At 42.6% G+C, this 18,242-nt stretch overlaps 1 protein-coding gene across 15 annotated transcripts in view, besides 1 other annotated feature; it reads right to left on the minus strand.

The window, feature by feature from the left end:
• CIT (citron rho-interacting serine/threonine kinase) overlaps window positions 1–18,242 on the minus strand; it is a 191,530-nt gene that overhangs the window by 82,366 nt on the left and 90,922 nt on the right. For 10 of the 15 annotated variants that reach the window (XM_017018737.2, XM_006719206.3, XM_017018736.2 and 7 more), the window contains 8 exons: window positions 16,804–16,909; window positions 15,752–15,895; window positions 14,362–14,481; window positions 8,516–8,686; window positions 8,202–8,252; window positions 7,630–7,683; window positions 4,614–4,754; window positions 2,629–2,754 (listed from right to left, as the gene is read on the minus strand). In XM_017018737.2, coding sequence (XP_016874226.1) covers window positions 2,629–2,754; window positions 4,614–4,754; window positions 7,630–7,683; window positions 8,202–8,252; window positions 8,516–8,686; window positions 14,362–14,481; window positions 15,752–15,895; window positions 16,804–16,909 — 913 coding nt within the window. Of the gene's footprint in view, window positions 1–2,628; window positions 2,755–4,613; window positions 4,755–7,629; window positions 7,684–8,201; window positions 8,253–8,515; window positions 8,687–14,361; window positions 14,482–15,751; window positions 15,896–16,032; window positions 16,690–16,803; window positions 16,910–18,242 lie in introns of those variants that run through there. The other 5 variants (XM_011537788.2, XM_011537787.2, XM_047428134.1 and 2 more) reach the window with 2 other exon arrangements.
• Window positions 7,079–7,680: an enhancer, noted in NCBI's record as "NANOG hESC enhancer chr12:120213039-120213640 (GRCh37/hg19 assembly coordinates)". NCBI's record gives its function as "activates a minimal SCP1, AML or CMV promoter by ChIP-STARR-seq in naive H9 embryonic stem cells {active_cell/tissue: H9 hESC(naive)}" and the evidence as "EXISTENCE:reporter gene assay evidence [ECO:0000049][PMID:30033119]".

An 18,242-nucleotide genomic window follows, 5' to 3' on the forward strand; every position in this document is an offset into this window, starting at 1 on the left:
CCGCCTCAGCCTCCCAAAGTGCTGGGATTACAGGCACGAGCCACCATGCCTGACCAAGTTTCTAGCTTTTAAACAAAACTGTAATTCACTTGAAAATTGCAGTTCATTTGCCAATGTTTTATAAACTGACCTTACAAAAGGCAGCATTCAATTCACTAAAACATTCTGTAAATGCACAGCTGCATCTATATTAATTCTTATGAATCTGGACCCATCAGTTAATTACTAATATCAAGTCATTACTCCAAGTTTTCAACTCTTTATACTATTATGAAATTTTTCTTTGAAGTGGAAGCAATTATGAGGGTTTTGAAGAATGAGGAAATTATATAGGATATGTTCATAAAATGGAGGTGAAAAAGTACTTTGAGATTCACACACACTTAAAATGTTAGTGATTAAGCTTTTGATATTCTAAAGTCTCCAAGCATTGGCTTTGCTCTGAGGGCAATTAAAGTTCAATCTTAAGACCAGGTGCACAAGATCTACTGCAATTCAATAGATGTGATCTTGAAGAGTTGAAAATAAACAGGATTAATAAAAACATATTTTAAAAGGTTCTATATGTACTTGGCTAAACGATCTCTTGCAGTAACTTCTTTTACTAAGGCCAAGGACTCTACTGTACTGACTGTACCATTATCTGTTTTGAAAGTTCTTATCAGAATAGCAAATATTTTAAAGCCAATGACATTTGGCGATGTATGTTCAGGCATCATCATTACATAATGGTACTAAGGACCACTCTTTGCCCACCTCCTAGATACTTTGCAGCCTAAGCACAGGGTTCTTGAGCAAAAGGCACCTTCTAATAAATGAAGTCACAACCACAAAGGTACTCCGGCGGGTGGCAAGATACACTCGGACGAAGAAATCCGCTTATTTTTCCTTTATGTTAGAAATCATTTGATAATCATCCTTTTTTTTTTTTTTTCCAGTTTCGGTCTTCATAAGATAGCACAGGAATGGAAATCAGAATCTAAGATTAGATCAAAAAACTCAGGTATCTGAGACTGACAACTTTAAGACCAAATTTCTGGTCTATTTGTGAATGGGAGTTTATAACACATAATCCAAGAATGCAGAACTCTCTACTCCTCCATTTTAATTGTAAGTGAACCTTAGGAAGAGCAGATATTCTAAAAATCTGACTCCTTGGTAGTTTGGCATTTTTTGTTGTTGTTGTCATTTTTTAAACAGGTATTTTCTAGATATATTGGATCAACTCTTCAGTCCTGTTATGCAAATACTGTTGTTTGCTGCTAAATTTCCAGCTCCTAGAACAGTGCCTGGCACATAGTAGAAGCTCATTAAATATTTGTTGAATGAATGAATGAACACATCACCATTAAACAGAGAAACACTTTGCAACCACAAGAGAGTTAACCACTCCGTTTATACCAAGCAAGGGACAGCAGCGGTGGGATCTCAGTGGGATCTAATTTTATACTCATGATAAAATTCAAACACTTGACAATAGCCAAGAGAAACTTTGATGACGGAACAAGAGAACAGAAAGGGTAGACTAACAGTCACATTTGTCTTTGTGTGCAGACATATATACAAAGACTGGGTGTCTTAGCAAAACAATTTAACCCATTTTTCTTTTACCTGTTGATTCGAGAACATCCATATATTTATAAATACACACAAACAGAAATGTAAAGTTGTAAACAGTTTGATTTGGTATTAAGTATAGACCTATAAGTTGGCCACTATGGAATTCCAATAGTTGCTGGTGACTCATTTCCCAGAAGTGATGTGAAGAGAGAGAGATGAAGTGCCCTGCTCACGACCTTGCCTCCTTAGGGTGGAGAGGAATGACCAATGACTTCAGAGACTCTCTCCCAGGTGGGATAGGAATGGACTCCAAGTCATCCTTGAGTCTCAAACATGATGTCAAATTTCTGGCTGTGGGACTGAGGTCCAAGGAGAGCCCTTCAAAGGTGCTGTCTTCCACCCTGGCAGGGGCAAAACGTCAACACATCTGCAAATACCACCCGAACCTTCCTTGATCAAGTTAATTTGGTGATCAGAGCCTGAGACAGAATCAGGATGACTACAGACCCTAAAAAAAGACCTGCTATATCTAAGGAAATTGAAAAAATAATAATAATAATAACCAACTGTAGCAGAGAAAGTGAGTGGGTGAACATGGATCTATGACAAATACTACTCCTAGCAAAACAATTCTGTATGACTAATTGCTTTCTTCTCTAAAAGCAAGAATCTGAATTTCGGTCTTAAAGGTCTAAACCCCTACAGCTTTTTAAATTGGCAATGCGAAGTTGACAGCTATCCAAAGCTCTGCTGATAGAAGTATGTCAACACGCCTTTAAAAATGTATTGAAAATGATAGATGCACGTTCCACTAAAAAAAAAAAAAAAGCCAGGCTGTAGCAAACAGAGCAAAAAACGATATTTACGGATCTGTTACCAGTGCTGAAATGTCCGTTATTTGGTTATTCATACTACTCTACGATGTGGCATATGCTGAAACCACCTCACTCAATTCATCTACTTGGAGATACCTCCCTTATTGTGGCGGTTAATTCTTCTTCTTACCCCCTTCCCTTTGCAAACTCTAACCTGTTATCTTTTAACTTTGCGACTTTCATTCCTGCTCACCAGAATTTTATCAGCCATCTGCTGGATCTGTTGGGATTTTGTCTGGATGTCATCCTTCAGTCTGTTTTCTCTACGCTCCATGGTCTCTAGTCTCTTTACCTTGTTCTCCAGAGAATGGCGGCGTTCCTGTAGATCATGAATCAATCAGAGAGTTTTAATGGAGTAACCGCTATGGGCATAACACCTGCACCGAGGGAAAGAGCCCTCAAGAAGCATACACTCGAGTCAGGAAGAAAAGTCTCAGGCACCCGAAGCAACAGCAGAGAAAATAAGATTCTATAATCTAGGTACTCAGTTGTGTAGGTTACAAGAGTGCATTCATTCATTCAAATATTTACCAAGCACCTACTATCTGCAAAGTGCCACCTAGGCATCACGGAAAATACAGAGGAAGATGGCATCATTCCTGCCCTTGGAGGAGATAAGATAAACACAAATAATCATAATATAGGTTAAGAGGAGGAAGAACCATAAAGCAAAGAGGTACAAAGTGCTGCAGGAGGTTGCAGGCAGGAAAGAGGACTTTTAATTGGACAGTTGAGCAGAGACATCAGAGAGGCGTGAGCTCTGGAGGGGGGTGGTATATGGTGTTTTGCAGGAGGAAGGACAGGAGAGGAGGGGGAAGATGTTTCAGACAAAAGGAGACACACTAGCAGAAACACAGCAGTAGTCAAGAGCCAGTCTGGGCCCCAAGAGAAGCCTGGAATGGCTACAGCACAGCACATGTTAAGGGGAAGGGCAGGTGAAAAGCAGAAAGGTCAAAGGTTGAGGGTTTCAGGTACCAGGCTCAGGGGTGCACCTGAGCATTATGGAACCCCTGAAAGGTTTGGGATGGGGCAGGGAATTCTGAGAAATCTGGTCCTTGAGGTCCATGAATCTTTCACTGTGTGAACTAGCTGGAAGGAAGGAGAAGCTGGAGGCAGATGGCCAAGAAATTATTAGATTTTCTCAGCCAAGAGGAAAGGGCTTGGACTACAAGGAGGGCTACAGAAATGGGAAGCAGGAGATGAACAGGAGACGTATGGCTGCATTTATAGGATGGAGGGACTCACTGAATAGCGGGGTCCAGAGAAAACGAAATGACACCAAAGTTTCAAGCCTGGAATGACGAGATGAATGATGGTGGCCCTGCCTGGCATGAGGAAAGTGAGAAGGGAAACCAGCTTGCCAGGGAAGAGACTGAGCTCATTCTAAATCTGATGCACCATTCAGGCACTCAGTTGGAATTTAGGGGAGCTGGGGGAAATGCAGATGAATGTGGGTGAGGATGGCCCAAAAGAGACATGTACCAGGAGGTTCACACCAAGAATGTGACAGGAAAAAGCAAAAGACCCAGCAATAGGAGGAGGGTGAAATCAACTACGGCACGCCCCTTCTGTGGGACAAACACCAAGGGGCAGAGGAGGCAGATACGAGTAAAGGAGAAGAATCGCTTTTTATCCTATATTCTTCTGTACTGTTTTAAGTTTTTTACGAAAAGGCACTCATGTGGTTCTGGTAAAATTATACAAATGATTTCAACAACAACAACAACAAAGAATTTGAAGTAGACAAGAGGCCCAAAAATATAGATCTGAGAGTCATTGACGCGCAGGTAATAGGTGAAGCCTTGAAAATTAATATGCTATTAATATCGTGGAGGGGAAAGGCAAGGAAAAAACAGAGGGAAGAGAAAGAAAAAACCAGTGATGGAGCTTCGGTTTACCTATAAAAATCAAAATTCTCCCAGATTAGTGGGTAGGTCAGAGGAAAATAAACAGAAAGAAAAAACTTCTATGAAGACATCTTTCTACTTGAAGCTGCTATGACAAATCTTTCTTTCCCCTGGGGGGAAATGATTCCCAGCCTCTCAGGTTTCAAAGGGATCTTCAGAAGGGAAAGCAGCTTTGGTCAAACATAAGCAAGTGATGGTCTGGCAGTTTCTTTCCTTGGGCACAGCCAAAGGCCGAGGCCGCTGGGGCCTGGGCTGGAGGTTCCCTGCTCACCTCAGCTTCCACCAGCTTCTTTCTGATGCCTTCAGAAGAATCCTCTCGGTTCTGCAGCTTCTCCAGCTCCCTCTCGGCTCGCTCCTTTGCCTGGCGGATATTCTGCAGCAGCTCGGTGGCCTCCGTGCTGGCTTTTACAGCCTAGGAAGAGAGAAGGAAAAGGAGATAGGTGGGCAAATTTATTCATATAAAAAGATGGTGACAGTATGTTCTGCACATGTATCCCAGAACTTAAAGTATAATCTAAAAAAAAAAAAAAAAAGATAGTGACAGTGTCCTAAATTTAAAAAGCAGGTAATACTGAATTTACCATTTGTCAAAACAAATACACAATCATTTAATTCTATATTTCATTATTCTAAGGTGCACTTTTTTTAACATCACTGAATTTGAAATCCACCCCACAATTAAAATTGATGCATTTTTCTTTCTTGGGGTATATAAGATAATGGTGTATCTGACCATCATTAGCATCTTCGATTCGATGCAACGTAATGAATGGAAATAGAAAGATCTAAATGGATTGATCTACCCAGGTATCAATGTATTTGCCTCTAAGCATTAATTTTCTCCTTATTTTAATTATCTCATTTGTTAATTTTCCTATGGGAAATATTGAGATATACTGGGTTAAAACAAACATATCATTCAAATGACTTCACCTGTTTTGCTTTTTTTTTGAGACGGAGTTTTGCTCTTCTTGCCCAGGCTGGAGTGCAATGGCGCAATCTCAGCTCACTGCAACCTCCACCTCCGGAGGTTCAAGTGATTCTCCTGCCTCAGCCTCCCGAGTAGCTAGGATTACAGGCATGCGCCACCACATCCAGCTAATTTTGTATTTTTAGTAAAGACAGGGTTTCACCATGTTGGTCAGGCTGGTCTCGAACTCCTGACCTCAGGAGTTCGCCTCAGCCTCCCAAAGTGCTGGGATTACAGGCGTGAGCCACCATGCCCGGCCTGTGTTTGCTGTTTTTAAATGTGGCTACTAGAAAATTTTAAATTACATCTGTAAGTAATATTTGTGGCTCCCTCACACTTTGATTGGAGAGCAGAGTTCTAGATGGAGACACGTGTCCTCTCACAAGCTTTTGGCTAAAGAGGGCCATGAGAGCTTTCATTAGAGAGCTCAAGAATAAGGAAGCAGGGAGCAAATAGTGGATAAGCAATATGCAGTATGTCTATAAAAAGGAATATGATTCCACCTTAAGAAGGAAGGAAATTCTGATACATGCAACATGAATGCAACTTTAGGACATTACGCTAAATGAAAGAAGCCAGTCACAAAAGGACAAACACTGTATGATTCCAGTTTATGAGGTATATAAAGTAGTCAAAATCATAGAAACAGAAAGTAGAAAGGTAGGGGGATGAGAGGAATTCGTATTTGGTGGTTATAGAGTTTCAGTGTAACAAGACAAAAACGTTCCAGAGATTCATTGCCCAGTAATGGGAATAAACTTAGCACAACTGAACTGTACACTTAAAAATGGTTAAGATGGTAATTTAATGTTATGTGGTTTTTTTTTTTACCACAATTTTAAAAAAGAAGAAGGAGGAGGAGGAGGAACTCTATTAAACCAAGCCAGCAAACACATTCACAAACATTCTCAATGCCAAAGGTACGTCCCACAACCACATTCATTCTGGCCCTTCCATTAAGCATTTCCAGTGTTCAACTAAAGAAAGGGCTTGAAAATTGCTCTTAAATGTTCTCACCACAAAAAATATAAGAAGAATGTGAGGTGATAGATCTGTTAGCTGGCTTGACTTAATCATTTCACAATGTATATGTGTGTGTGTGTGTGTGTGTGTGTGTATACATCACATTGCATACTATAAGTACATGCAATTATTATTTGCCAATTATACCTTAATGAAGCTAGGGAAAAAATTAATAAAAATTTTAAAAACAAGATAAAATGGTCAGGTACAGTGGCTCATGCCTGTAATCCCAGCATCTTGGGAAGCAATGGCAGGTGGTTCACTTGAGTCCAGGTGTTTGAGACCAGCCTGGGCAACATGGCAAAATCCTATCTCTACAGAAAATACAGAAAATCAGCTGGGTGTAGTGGTGCACACCTGTAGTCCCAGCTACCCAGGAGGCGGAGGTGGGAGGATCACCTGAGCGTGTGAAGTCAAGGCTGCAGTGAGCCATGATCATGCCCTGCACTCCAGCCTGGGTGACAGAGTGAGACCCTGTCTCAAAAAAGTTAAATAAGTTGGCCAGGCGCAGTGGCTCATGCCTGTAATCCCAGCACTTTGGGAGGCCTAGGCATGCAGATCACCTGAGGTCAGGAGTTCGAGACCAGCCTGACCAACATGGTGAAACCCCGTGTCTATTAAAAATACAAAAATTAGCCAGGCGTGGTGGCACATGCCTGTAATCCCAGCTATTCAGGGGGCTGAGGCAAGAGAATCGCTTCAACCCAGGAGGCGGAGGTTGCAGTGAGCCAAGATCACACCACTGCACTCCAGCCTGGACAACAGAGCAAGACTCCATCTCAAAAAAAAATTTTTTTTAATTAAATAATTAAACAATGAAATAAAAGGGCCATTAGCACAAACTTTGCAGGATGCTATAAACCAAATCCACGCCCCTTCCCAATCACGTGACAACCCCATGGCTCCTCCAGCCTTCTGCAGGGCAGGCCTCCTGCTGGCAGAAAGCAGTTTGGGTGGGGAACTACTTCTCTTACAAATGTGCATAAATGAGGTGCCAGGCCCCCTGAGGCGAGAGATGCAGGCCTCTTGGGTTCTGTCGTAGTATAATTAGAACTTTTACTTGAGAGTCTCACACAGCTTGGTTTTTAAAAATAAACACTGCTGACATGTCTCAAAAGGAAAAACTATATTCAGAACTCTGATATTTTCAGGTAATCGCTCACTCCCCCTTCATTTTCCTCAGCGCTGGGTGACTAATTCTGTTTCTTTCATCTTTCGTGCTCTGGGACAAGGCAAAGATGTTTGGAAAGGAGGTGGTGGGGGGTAAGTTCCTGAAAAATCACCTTGGGCTTACCTTCTCCAGTTTCTCTTGGAGCTCCTGAATTTTGAGCTGCTGCTCAGCATTGATCTATAATTAAAATCCCAGGAAATAAAGCAAAAGGCAAATCAGCATTAACATCTTGCTACATTTATTGCAGTCCTATTCTCTTGAGGTTTCTATGGGGTCTTTTTCTTTGGGTTTCCAGAACCTATTAAGGGAGAGGAAGAACAGTGGCCTCTCAGGGAAGACTTTGTCCCAGTGCAAAGCTCCATGTTGATGATGCATGTAGGACCAGCAACATACAAATGGCAAAAAGAGAAAGTCGCTCAGTCCTTTAAAACAATAACAATTTTCCTATACTTTTTACTAAGTGTCTGGGTTTGTTGCTGTGGGCAGGTGTGACAAAAATGAGCTGTCTTTTACCTCTTTTAGAGCCATAAAGTCATATGTGGTCACCCAAAGGTGGACTATCAAAATAAGCCTCGAAGAGAGGTCTCTATTCATTGATGAAGAATACTCTTCATCAATGATGGGCCACTGATAATAACATGAAAAAAGTTATCTACCCAAAATATTAATAGCAAAACCAATCATGGAAAGTATACCTTCTCCAGTTTCGCATATTCTCCCACTTCAGGCTTCCCTTGATCCTTAGCCTGTAATTAAAAAGACACAACATATTGGGAAATCTCAACAACCTAAAAAAGTCGTGTAGACTACTTTCTTGGTCTCTGTGACCAAGATAATAATAGTAAATAAGAATAATGTTATCTTCTGTAAATAAAGACCAAGAGTTTTCCAAGGTATCCTACTATTTCTCAAACTAGGTTGTTTCTCATTAAACTAGGTTCTCCTTTTTCTTGCTAAGATCATGTACAATTTTACCCAAAAAGCACCCTCCTGGAGGGTGGCTGACTACCTTCAACAGTTTATGCTGACATTCTGTCGCTTTCCGCTTGAATTCTTCAGCAGCAAGCCGAGACTCTCTCAGCTCAGATTCGTAGAGATCACTCCGTCTTCTTGCTGAGACAAGATCCTCTTCCAACTGATTCATCATCAACCTCATTTCTTCCACTTGAGCCTGGTACTCCTAAAGAGCAGGCAATGAAATAAAAGAGAACTTTCGAACTCCGAAAAGAATAGACAGGCAGTGAGGATGGAAGAGTATTAACCACACAGGGAAGATGCACAGTGAAGAGAGACTGGCAAAGAAAAGACCTGGCCAGGTGCAGTGGCTCACGCCTGTAATCCCAGCACTTTGGGAGGCCAAGGCAGGTGGATCACCTGACGTCAGGAGTTCAAGACCATCCTGGCCAACATGGTGAAACACTGTCTCTGCTAAAAATACAAAAATTAGCTGGGTGTGGTGGTGCGGGCCTATAGTCCCAGCTACTTGGGAGGCTGAGGCAGGAGAATCGCTTGAACCCAGGAGGCAGAGGTTGCAGTGAGCCGAGATCGCGCCACTGCACTCCAGCCTGGGTGACAGGGCAAGACTCCGTCTCAAAAAAAAACAACCTACAGACCTAGAGACGAGGGGAGTAGAAAGATGGACCCAGAATGAGGCACCAAGTAGGCAAAGGTGAGAAGTGTAGGGTGAAGATGAGGGAGAAAAAAATATTAAACCTTAAAACTGTTTTGGCCGGGTGTTGTGGCTCATGCCTGTAATCCCAGAACTTTGGGAGGCTGAGGCAGGCGGATCACAAGGTCAGGAATTCGAGACCAGCATGGCCAACATGGTGAAATCCCGTCTCTACTAAAAACACAAAAATTAGCCAGGTGTGGTGGTGGACGCCTGTAATCCCAGCTAGTCAGGAGGCTGAGGCAGAAGAATCGCTTGGACCCGGGAGGCGGAGGTTGCAGTGAGCCGAGATCGCGCCACTGCACTCCAGCCTGGGTGACAGAGCAAGACTCCGTCTCAAAAAAACAAAAAAAAACAAAAAAAAACACTTTTAATGTAGAGCATATGTCATTAGCAAAACCACCGGGAACACACATGCAAATCACACCATACGAAATGCACAGAACCTTAAGGCCTAACACAGGAGAGCCAAAAGGGATGTTCTTTAAACAACAAGGATAAACTGCTTACATGTAGTTTTCCGCCAAGGGTAATCATTTATATAGACTTGTCCTTTAGAAGTCATGTGCTCCTAACACAAATTGGATATGGTACTAGTTTTAAAATTAACCTTTCAGACAGCACAAGAGGGTAATTGAAAATCTCAGTGGAAAGAATTCTGGAAGGTGAAACTCATCATGTCAGTTTCTCACCATTAATTTTTCTGGGCTCAAAACTGAATGATGACCGTAACATCACTCCTGCAATGCAAGTCACCCTGAAATCTGGAAGAGTCACAAAACACTGGCTTCGGTCAAAATAACTTGTGAGAAAAATTCCAAGGAAAGAACCTTCCTGTTCCCTTGAGCAAACCCTTTAAGTGATCCAAACAGCCCAACCTTTTCCAAAATGCATTTCTAAAATCAAAACATTTACATTGAAGTTTCTCAGAACTGGGCTCACCAAAAGAAATGGCCAGTGATTTTGAAAACTTTTGGACAAAGTATAAAAATATTCTGTGTTAGCAAAAATCAAGGCTAAGTATAAGGATTATGAATGAGCATTTATGTAATCCAAGGTGACTTGTGGGGTGAGGACGAGAGAGATACAAAACGAAATGAACAAGGAATTGAATCAAGAATGTCTTTAAAAATCACAATATTCAGTAACATCTCTGAGATCCACTCTCCCAAGAAATAATTGGTGAGGAATATTTGAATATTTCTCCCAAGAAATAATCGACTGAGCAAGGATATTCTTTTAACTGATAAATTGCAATTTTTGAATAACAGGGTATAAAGGAAACCTTTTATCCCATTGTAGCAGGTGACGCCCCCCCCCCAGAGCATATTAAAGGGGATGTGCTGCTCTTATGAAAATTGGATGGTTTCCATGCAAGCACACCTCTCCCTCTATTATCTGTAAAGGAGAAAGGAAAAAACAGCCCAAAATGGAACACGGGTCTCATTTCACTCTCTCCCACCCAAAAGCATACTGTTATTGAAGGTCAATCCTCAGAATCATGGGGCACACAGGTTTCCTGGGTCATGCATACTAAGCAGGCAATGCTGGATTATATAACCAAAGATCTTTATAACCTGCTCACAATTATCTAAACTCACAGGGCAGGCCGGGCATGGTGGTTCACGCCTGTAATCCCAGCACTTTGGGAGCCCGAGGTGGCGGATCACTTGAGGTTAGGAGTTCAAGACCAGCCTGGCCAACATAGTGAAACCCCATCTCTACAAAATATACAAAAATTAGCCAGACATGGTGGTGAGCACCTGTAATCCCAGCTACTTGGAAGGCTGAGACAGGAGAACTGCTTGAACCTGGGAGGCAGAGGTTGCAGTGAGCTGAGATTACACCACTGCCCTCCAGCCTGGGTGACAGAGCAAGACTCTATCTCAAATTAATTAATTAATTAATTAATTCACAGGCCAGAACATGAGCTGTATGTGAAATGGAATATCGGTTTTTCTGGACCCCCTCAAGCAGAGCCATATTATGGCTTTCATAACTGTGAGCACTGAGCCTGTCTTGCCTTCCTCCATAAAAATTAAAATTAAAAATTACATTTTACAGTTGTGCTCCTATAAATACAAAAATATTAACATCATCTATGAAAACAGTGTCTTTGACCTAAGCCCAACTTTTTTCTTCTGATGAAAAAATTAAAACATTTTGTGAGACCCTAAAAGTAAAGTGGTCCCTAGATACCGTGCCTGCTAGAGCTAATGGGAAAGCCAGTCCTGGCTACAGGCATGGACACCAAATCTTGAGCATCTTTTGTCCTCAAGCTCACTTTTCTTTCTTGAATTTATGTCGGCGAGAAGGGAATGTAATTTTTGTGTTTTGTCAAGAGCAAGGACAGAGTGTCTGTTCCTTCCCCCCAACATCTCTCTTCCCTGAGCTGTCAGCACATAAGAGGGAGGAAGGCAGGAATCAGGCAACCACTCTGTCAGCTCTCCAAGCTCTCGGGGCACCCAGTCTCCTACAAGCATCAAAAGAAAATTCTAACTCATTTGTGGATCCTTTGATATTGTGCAGGATACTTCAAGGAAATCCTATAAATCTAGCAGCTAACCAAATCCCTGCTTCAGGAAAAACCTGAGAGGTGATCATCAGGTCTGTTTGCAAGATCAGCTGAGAGAGAGCTGTGGTATCTCAGGATGGAATGAAAGACTGGTAGGTGTGAGTCAGGTCAGGATGGGGAACTGCAGACAGGTTTCAAGGCCCACCTAACGCAAGTCTTCTGAATGGAGCTTCAGAATTTTGTGGGGAGGAAGGATCAGGTATGATGCAATTCACTCAGAAACCATGGAACACAAGTGACTTTTGTGTTACCCACACTTTTGTCTCCTTTCCTGAGTAGGGGAGCAAGGAAGAAGCTGAAATTGCTAGTAATGATCTAGGAATCAAATTTCACATGAGTCTTTGAGGTGTTTTTCTTTTAAACCAAATCTAAATATTCTAGAGGGGGTAGCTAGGTGGAAGTAAAATATTTTTTAAAAAAATGAAGAGCCGGCCAGGTGCAGTGGCTCATGCCTGTAATCTCAGCACTTTGGGAGGCCAAGGCGGGCAGATCAGGAGGTCAGGAGTTCGAGACCAGCCTGACAAACATGGTGAAACCCCATCTCTACTAAAAACACAAAAATTAGCTGGGTGTGGCGGCGTGCACCTGTAGTCCCAGCTACTCAGGAGGCTGAGGCAGGAGAATCACTTGAACCCAGGAGGTGGAGGCTGCAGTGAGCCGAAACTGCACCACTGCACTCCAGCCTGGGTGACAGAGCGAGACTCCATCTCAAAAAAATAAAGAGCGATATAGAAAGTTAGATTTTTAAGAGAAAGATCAGGGAATAAATCCCAAGTCTAGAAAAAATCAATATGCCACAAACTAAATACTGAAAGTTTGCTGCAAGCATTAAAAGCTTTCTCCCAGTCTGCAAACATCCTGCTCTCACAAAACTTACCAAAAGTCATAAAATAAATCCTTGTTCCGATGAAAAATCAAATCTGAAACCACGTTTCTTCCCCACAATGGAACTTTTAGCAGTCATTAAATCTAAGACTCCACATGCATGCCAACTGTGGTATGAATCATAAAAGACGTGTCTTTGAACTCGGCCACCAACATACACCTTTTCAAAACGTCCTGATAATTCCGTTTCTAAGGAATCTATGGACACCAGCTGCTCCCTCTGGTGGCCAAACACAGCTTTCATTTCCCCAGGATGTCACCAAAAGTAAATTTCCAGGTATGTTGAACTAATGGGAGAAAATGATTCCTACCTCTTGAAACTTTTAGGATGAAAAACTATGTTGATAAAAGGAGCATGAGTCAACTGTCAAAGCAGATTTCTCAAAGCCAATGTGCAGCCTTCAAAACCTCTAAGACTGCATTATTCAGAGATCTGATGATCCTTTACAGGGTTTCCGTCCTATGCACGTTTATTTATAATGTTTTTATCAAGCAACAGAATATTAACTGATCACAACTTTAAAATATTCAGATGATAAATATGCCAACAAAACTCCAAAGACAGTAATTCTTTTTTTAAAGAGTAATTAATGGATAGAGTTATTTGCAGAAGTTTCTTGCATTAGCTCCAGCCAGATGGCTAAGTTTGTGCTACCCAGAGACAGAAATGTTCATTTCTATCAGTGTTTCCATTAGATTTTCTGAAGTGAATGAGAGTTGCCTGGCAGCTGATAGTTCAGCTCTCCAATTGCTCATTGCCATCTCTTCATTAAAGTCTCTATTTACAGTTTTTCAAAAGACACAAAAATCCATGCTAAAAAGGAAACAATGAGGCAATACAAAAATGAGCCATTTAGAAAGAAAACCCGTTTAGAAAGAAAAAAAAGAGTGGGCTTTTTAAAGGTCTCGATTCTCCTTTCTGAAAACACAGGGGACAGCCTTCTGCACTCAGATAGGCAGTGTTAATCCTGACTTGACCTTGACCAGAATGGTTCAAATTTCTCTTCTAGAATATTTCTTTATGTAAGTAAAACTATGAATTAGCCTGGCTTCACTCAAAAACTTAAAAGTGCATCTGAGAAGCTATTAAAACATTTAATTGTTTTTAACCATCTAAAGCAGGGATTGGCAAACTTTTGCTGTAAGAAGCCAGATAGTAAGTAGTTTCAGCTTTGCAGGCCACATGGTCTCTGTAACAACCACTCACCTCTGACTCTGTAGCCTGAAAGCAGCCAGGGCCGATATGCAAATTACCAAGCATGGCTGTGTTCCAAAAAAAAAACACTTTATTTATGGAGACTGAAATTTGAATTTCATATAAATTTCAAATGTCATGAAATATTGTTTTACTTTTGATTTTTTTTCCAACTGTTTAAAAACGTAACCCCATTCTTAGCTTGTGGGCCATAGAAAATAGGTGTTGGACCAGCTTTGCCCCACAGGCTGAAGTCTGCCCACTCTTGCTCTAAACCTACATCTTTATTTTTAAAAGCAGACATTATGGGGTATCAGCTTCAAAAGGAGCTGGAACAAGCATTCTATGATGTATATAAATTATGAGAAATCTGAAGTTTCTGAATGACCTACATACCTGTCTCTCTTCCACTCTGCCCCCACCCTTTCTCTCTCTCCCTTTCTTCCTATTTCTCTCTCAAACACGCCTCTCCTGAAATTAGAGGTCCAAGCAAGCCGAGATGCTGCTGTGCTCCCAGGCAAGCAGGCCTACCTGCTCTTTGATTTCTTGGAGCTTCCGGCTCTGCTCTCTGATATCATGGAGAAGCTGCAGTGCTTTGTCATCCTCCTGGGACACCTCCATCCGTGCTTGCTCCAAACTTCGCTTTAAGCTCTGCAGAAAGCAAAAATTTTAATAGGGATGCCCTGTGGATCCTGCTTTGTTTGAAAAGACTCATTAAGAGAGCTGCAAGCTGCTTCGCAGACACCAGGACAGTTTCGAGTGACGGACCACAGTTCACAACTTCCAGTTGGTTGCCGACTCCGGTTTCCATCCTGTAAAACCCCTTGGTTCAAGAAACATCATCTCAACCTGGTGACCTTAGGGATCCAGCCGGAAACTGCATCAGCCTGTCTCCTGCCACCATCTACCTGTCCTAGGAGATACTTACTTGCATGTTCAGGACTAAAACCTATTAAGACCCAGTAGCTATTACAGCCACCATGTGGATAGCTACAAAGTGTTTTCTACAGTTATTTGTGGGCCCTAAAGTACATATGCCTCTTTCAAAGTAGCAATGACTTCATATCCTCTGCCCAGTTGTCATTTAAGACTCCAAGTGGTCTATTTCTACCTCCTGGCTTATTTTTCCTGGACACCTTTCATCCATAAGAATCCCTTAATGCTTCAATGGCACTGAAATCTATATCTGAAATACATAGCTGAATAACTTCACCCACCACTGAAAGGCAGCCAAGTCTGGAATGGAAACATAGCAGTTATTCTTAATCAGCCACGTTCTATAGATTTCCTCTCCCTTGTGAAAAAAACTTTAGAAATGTGTGATTCAACTTCTTGAGACTGTTTAATTGGGCACATTAAAAAACACCTGAATGAAAAATTTAACAAGACAATGGAGAAGAAGACAGTCTACTCTTGTGAAGGAAAGAAAAAATGAAAGTCACATGGTAAATAATGACAGAGGGTCTGGGTTTTCAAGGCTATTTTCTTGTCACTACACTGGTTCTGGCCAATGGAAAATTTGATGTCAGGAAGATTGAAAGTAAGTTTTCTTGTACATAGTTGGGAGTCTGGTTCTCAAGGCTGCTCATGTCAGACACAACGCAGACCACAGAGGCTGGGATGGGAGATGTTAAGATCTTTTGCAACTTGCGGCAAAGATGGATTACTCCCATCTCCAGACTCCATGGTACCAGCCGTCTACCTGCACTTTCTGCTGGAAATGAGTCCAATCTCATTTCTTGGGGACCTTACGCCTGGCTCTCACTACTCTGCAAAACACAGATCTTGCTTTTGTGCTCTCCCTCTCTCTACTCTCTGCCATTGGCTGTGATGTGCCTCATGGAGCCATCATGAAACAGGATGAGACACACACAACAGGAAGTGCCACCTCCAAGGGAAGGGGGCTTCAGGGAAGGCTCACACTGCATTCTGTGATGTAGGTAGCAAGGTCCTGCTCCAGGAGGGATCTCTGAGTCTCAGAGGCCTTCAGCTCCACCTCCTTCTGACTAAGCACAGCCTCCACCTCTGACACTCTCCGATGTAACCGGGTCATTTCCTGCTCCATCTGAAATAAACACATCGACAGGTTAAAAAGGCCCGTGGAGGTTCATTAGGAGCAATCACATCTCAAGTAGCCTCCGAAACCACCTGGTGGTCTGGGCTAAGGCTAATTCGCCAAAAGTTAAGTTGGGATGGAAATACCATTGTTTCTTCGCCCAGGAGCGCACAGTTCTTCGTTAAGGACAGTCACCAAATGCTAAGTCACTCCTCTCATTCAAGTCCCGGTTCACACTTGATCACTTCTCTAACCCAGTTAGCAAGGAAGCCACAATCATCATTTTTCACCTGTTTGCTTTTGTTTTTGTTTTGTTTTTGCAGACGTCACTTTAATTTTATCCCAAATCCATCTTGATCCCCCCCCATCTCCTTGCAAAGATCTAGAGGACAAATCCAGGACAGGGCAAGGAGATATTTATTCGTCTGCACTCTTAGGAGTCCCAGGCAAGCAGTGACTTATTAGTTTCCAGAGCGTTGCCTCTGGGCAGGAACAGTGAATGTTAAGAGACGTTGAGCGTAATCAACACAGTGGCCGCAGTGACATAAGCAGGAGTTTTAAAAGACTAGGAAGAGAGACTTCGCATCACTCAAAGCAGATGGGATGTATCTCAGCCACAGGTGAGGACCCAGGCCACCTGCCGGAAGAAGCAGACATCTGGCTGGGTCATGCTGAGAAACGGACTGTTTAAATCCAGGGCCTCCTCTGGTTTAGATTTAAAGGATTTACAGCAACAGCAAGGCCCGAATTCATCTCCCTCTGAGCTGCTGGAGGCGCGACTTCAGCGAAGGCAGGAGCGCCTCACTCTCTACGGATCAGGCGGCTCAGAGCCAGCAGCGGCCCCGGGCGGATCCCTTGGCATATACGGACGGGAGGATCCTGGAGCAAGGAAGGAGGCCGGCTGCGGAAATAAATACCTTGTGACACTTGTCCTGAGAGTCTTGTAGCTCTTTGCTTTTGATGAGAAGTTTCTTTTCCATGGAGCTAGTCTTGGCAGGGGAGTCCAGACCCGACACAACAGACCTAGGTAGAGAAAAACCAACGTCAAGGGGGCCTGCAGGTGGGCCTAAGAAGCTGCATTAGGAAGCTGCAACATTTGTTTCATTTTACAAAAACATCTCATGCTCTTGATGTTAGGTCAAATAATGCCCCCTTCCCGTTTCCCAAAGATGCCCATGTCCTGATCTCTGCAAGCTGTGAATATATTACCACACATGGCAAAAGGGACTTTGCAGATGGGATTTAAGTTATGGATCTTGGGATGGAAAGATTCTCCTGGGATATCTGGATGGGTACAATGAAATCACAAGGATCCTTATAAGATGGAAGCAAGGATCGGAGTCACAGAGACCTGAAGATGTTACACCAATGGCTTTGAACACGGAGGAAGGGGCCACAAGCCAAGGAATGCAGGCAACCTCTAGAAGCTGGAAAAGACAAGGAAACAGATTCTGCCCTAGAGCCTCCAGAGAGAGTGCAGCCTTGTCTACACTGATCTCAGCCCAGTAAAACTCATCCCGGACTTTTTTTTTTTTCTTGGAAACAGGGTCGCGTTCTGTTGCCCAGGCTGGAGTGCAGTGGTGCAACCTCGGCTCACTGCAACCTCGGCTCACTGCAACCTCCACCTCCTGGGTTCAAGCAATTCTCCTGCCTCAGCCTCCTGAGTAGTTGGGATTACAGGTGCTCGTGACCGTGCCTGACTAATTTTTGTATTTTTAGTAGAGATGGGGTTTCACCATGTTGGCTAGGCTAGTCTGGAACTCCTGACCTCAAGTGATCCTGCCACCTCAGCCTCCCAAAGTGCTGGGATTACAGGCTTGAGCCACCAAGCCTGGCATCATCTTAGACTTCTGACCTCCAGAACTGTAAAATAATAAATGTGTGTTGTTTTAAGCCACTAAGTTTGTGGTCATTTGTTACATTGGCCATAGGAAACTCATACACCTATTGGGCACTGGCTGCATACCTGGTTCTGTTTGAACGCTAGATATATTTGAACTCTTTGTTTTTGTTTTTTTTTCTTTTTTCCTTCACTGACAGATACATTTGAACTCTTTACTCCCCACAGCAACTCTATGAGCAGATACGATTTATTATCCTCATTTTATATGAGGAAATTGAGGCCCAGAGAGGTTACGTAAACTGCCAGTTGATAAATAGTTTCTGCTGGTCTCAAGAGGGAGCTGGGGTAGACAAGTTGGCTTGATGCACTTGCTTATACAACTCTTAGGAAAATATCACAAAAATAACATAGGATGCCCTCCTGAGAGTGGACCAAAAGGATGCTCCCCCCACAGAAAGGGCAAACTTACCCACACTCATCTATGTAACTCATGCACTGTGCCCAGAAGCAGTT

Source organism: Homo sapiens, chromosome 12 (assembly GCF_000001405.40).
Source record: "Homo sapiens chromosome 12, GRCh38.p14 Primary Assembly".
Classification (NCBI taxonomy): domain Eukaryota; kingdom Metazoa; phylum Chordata; class Mammalia; order Primates; family Hominidae; genus Homo; species Homo sapiens.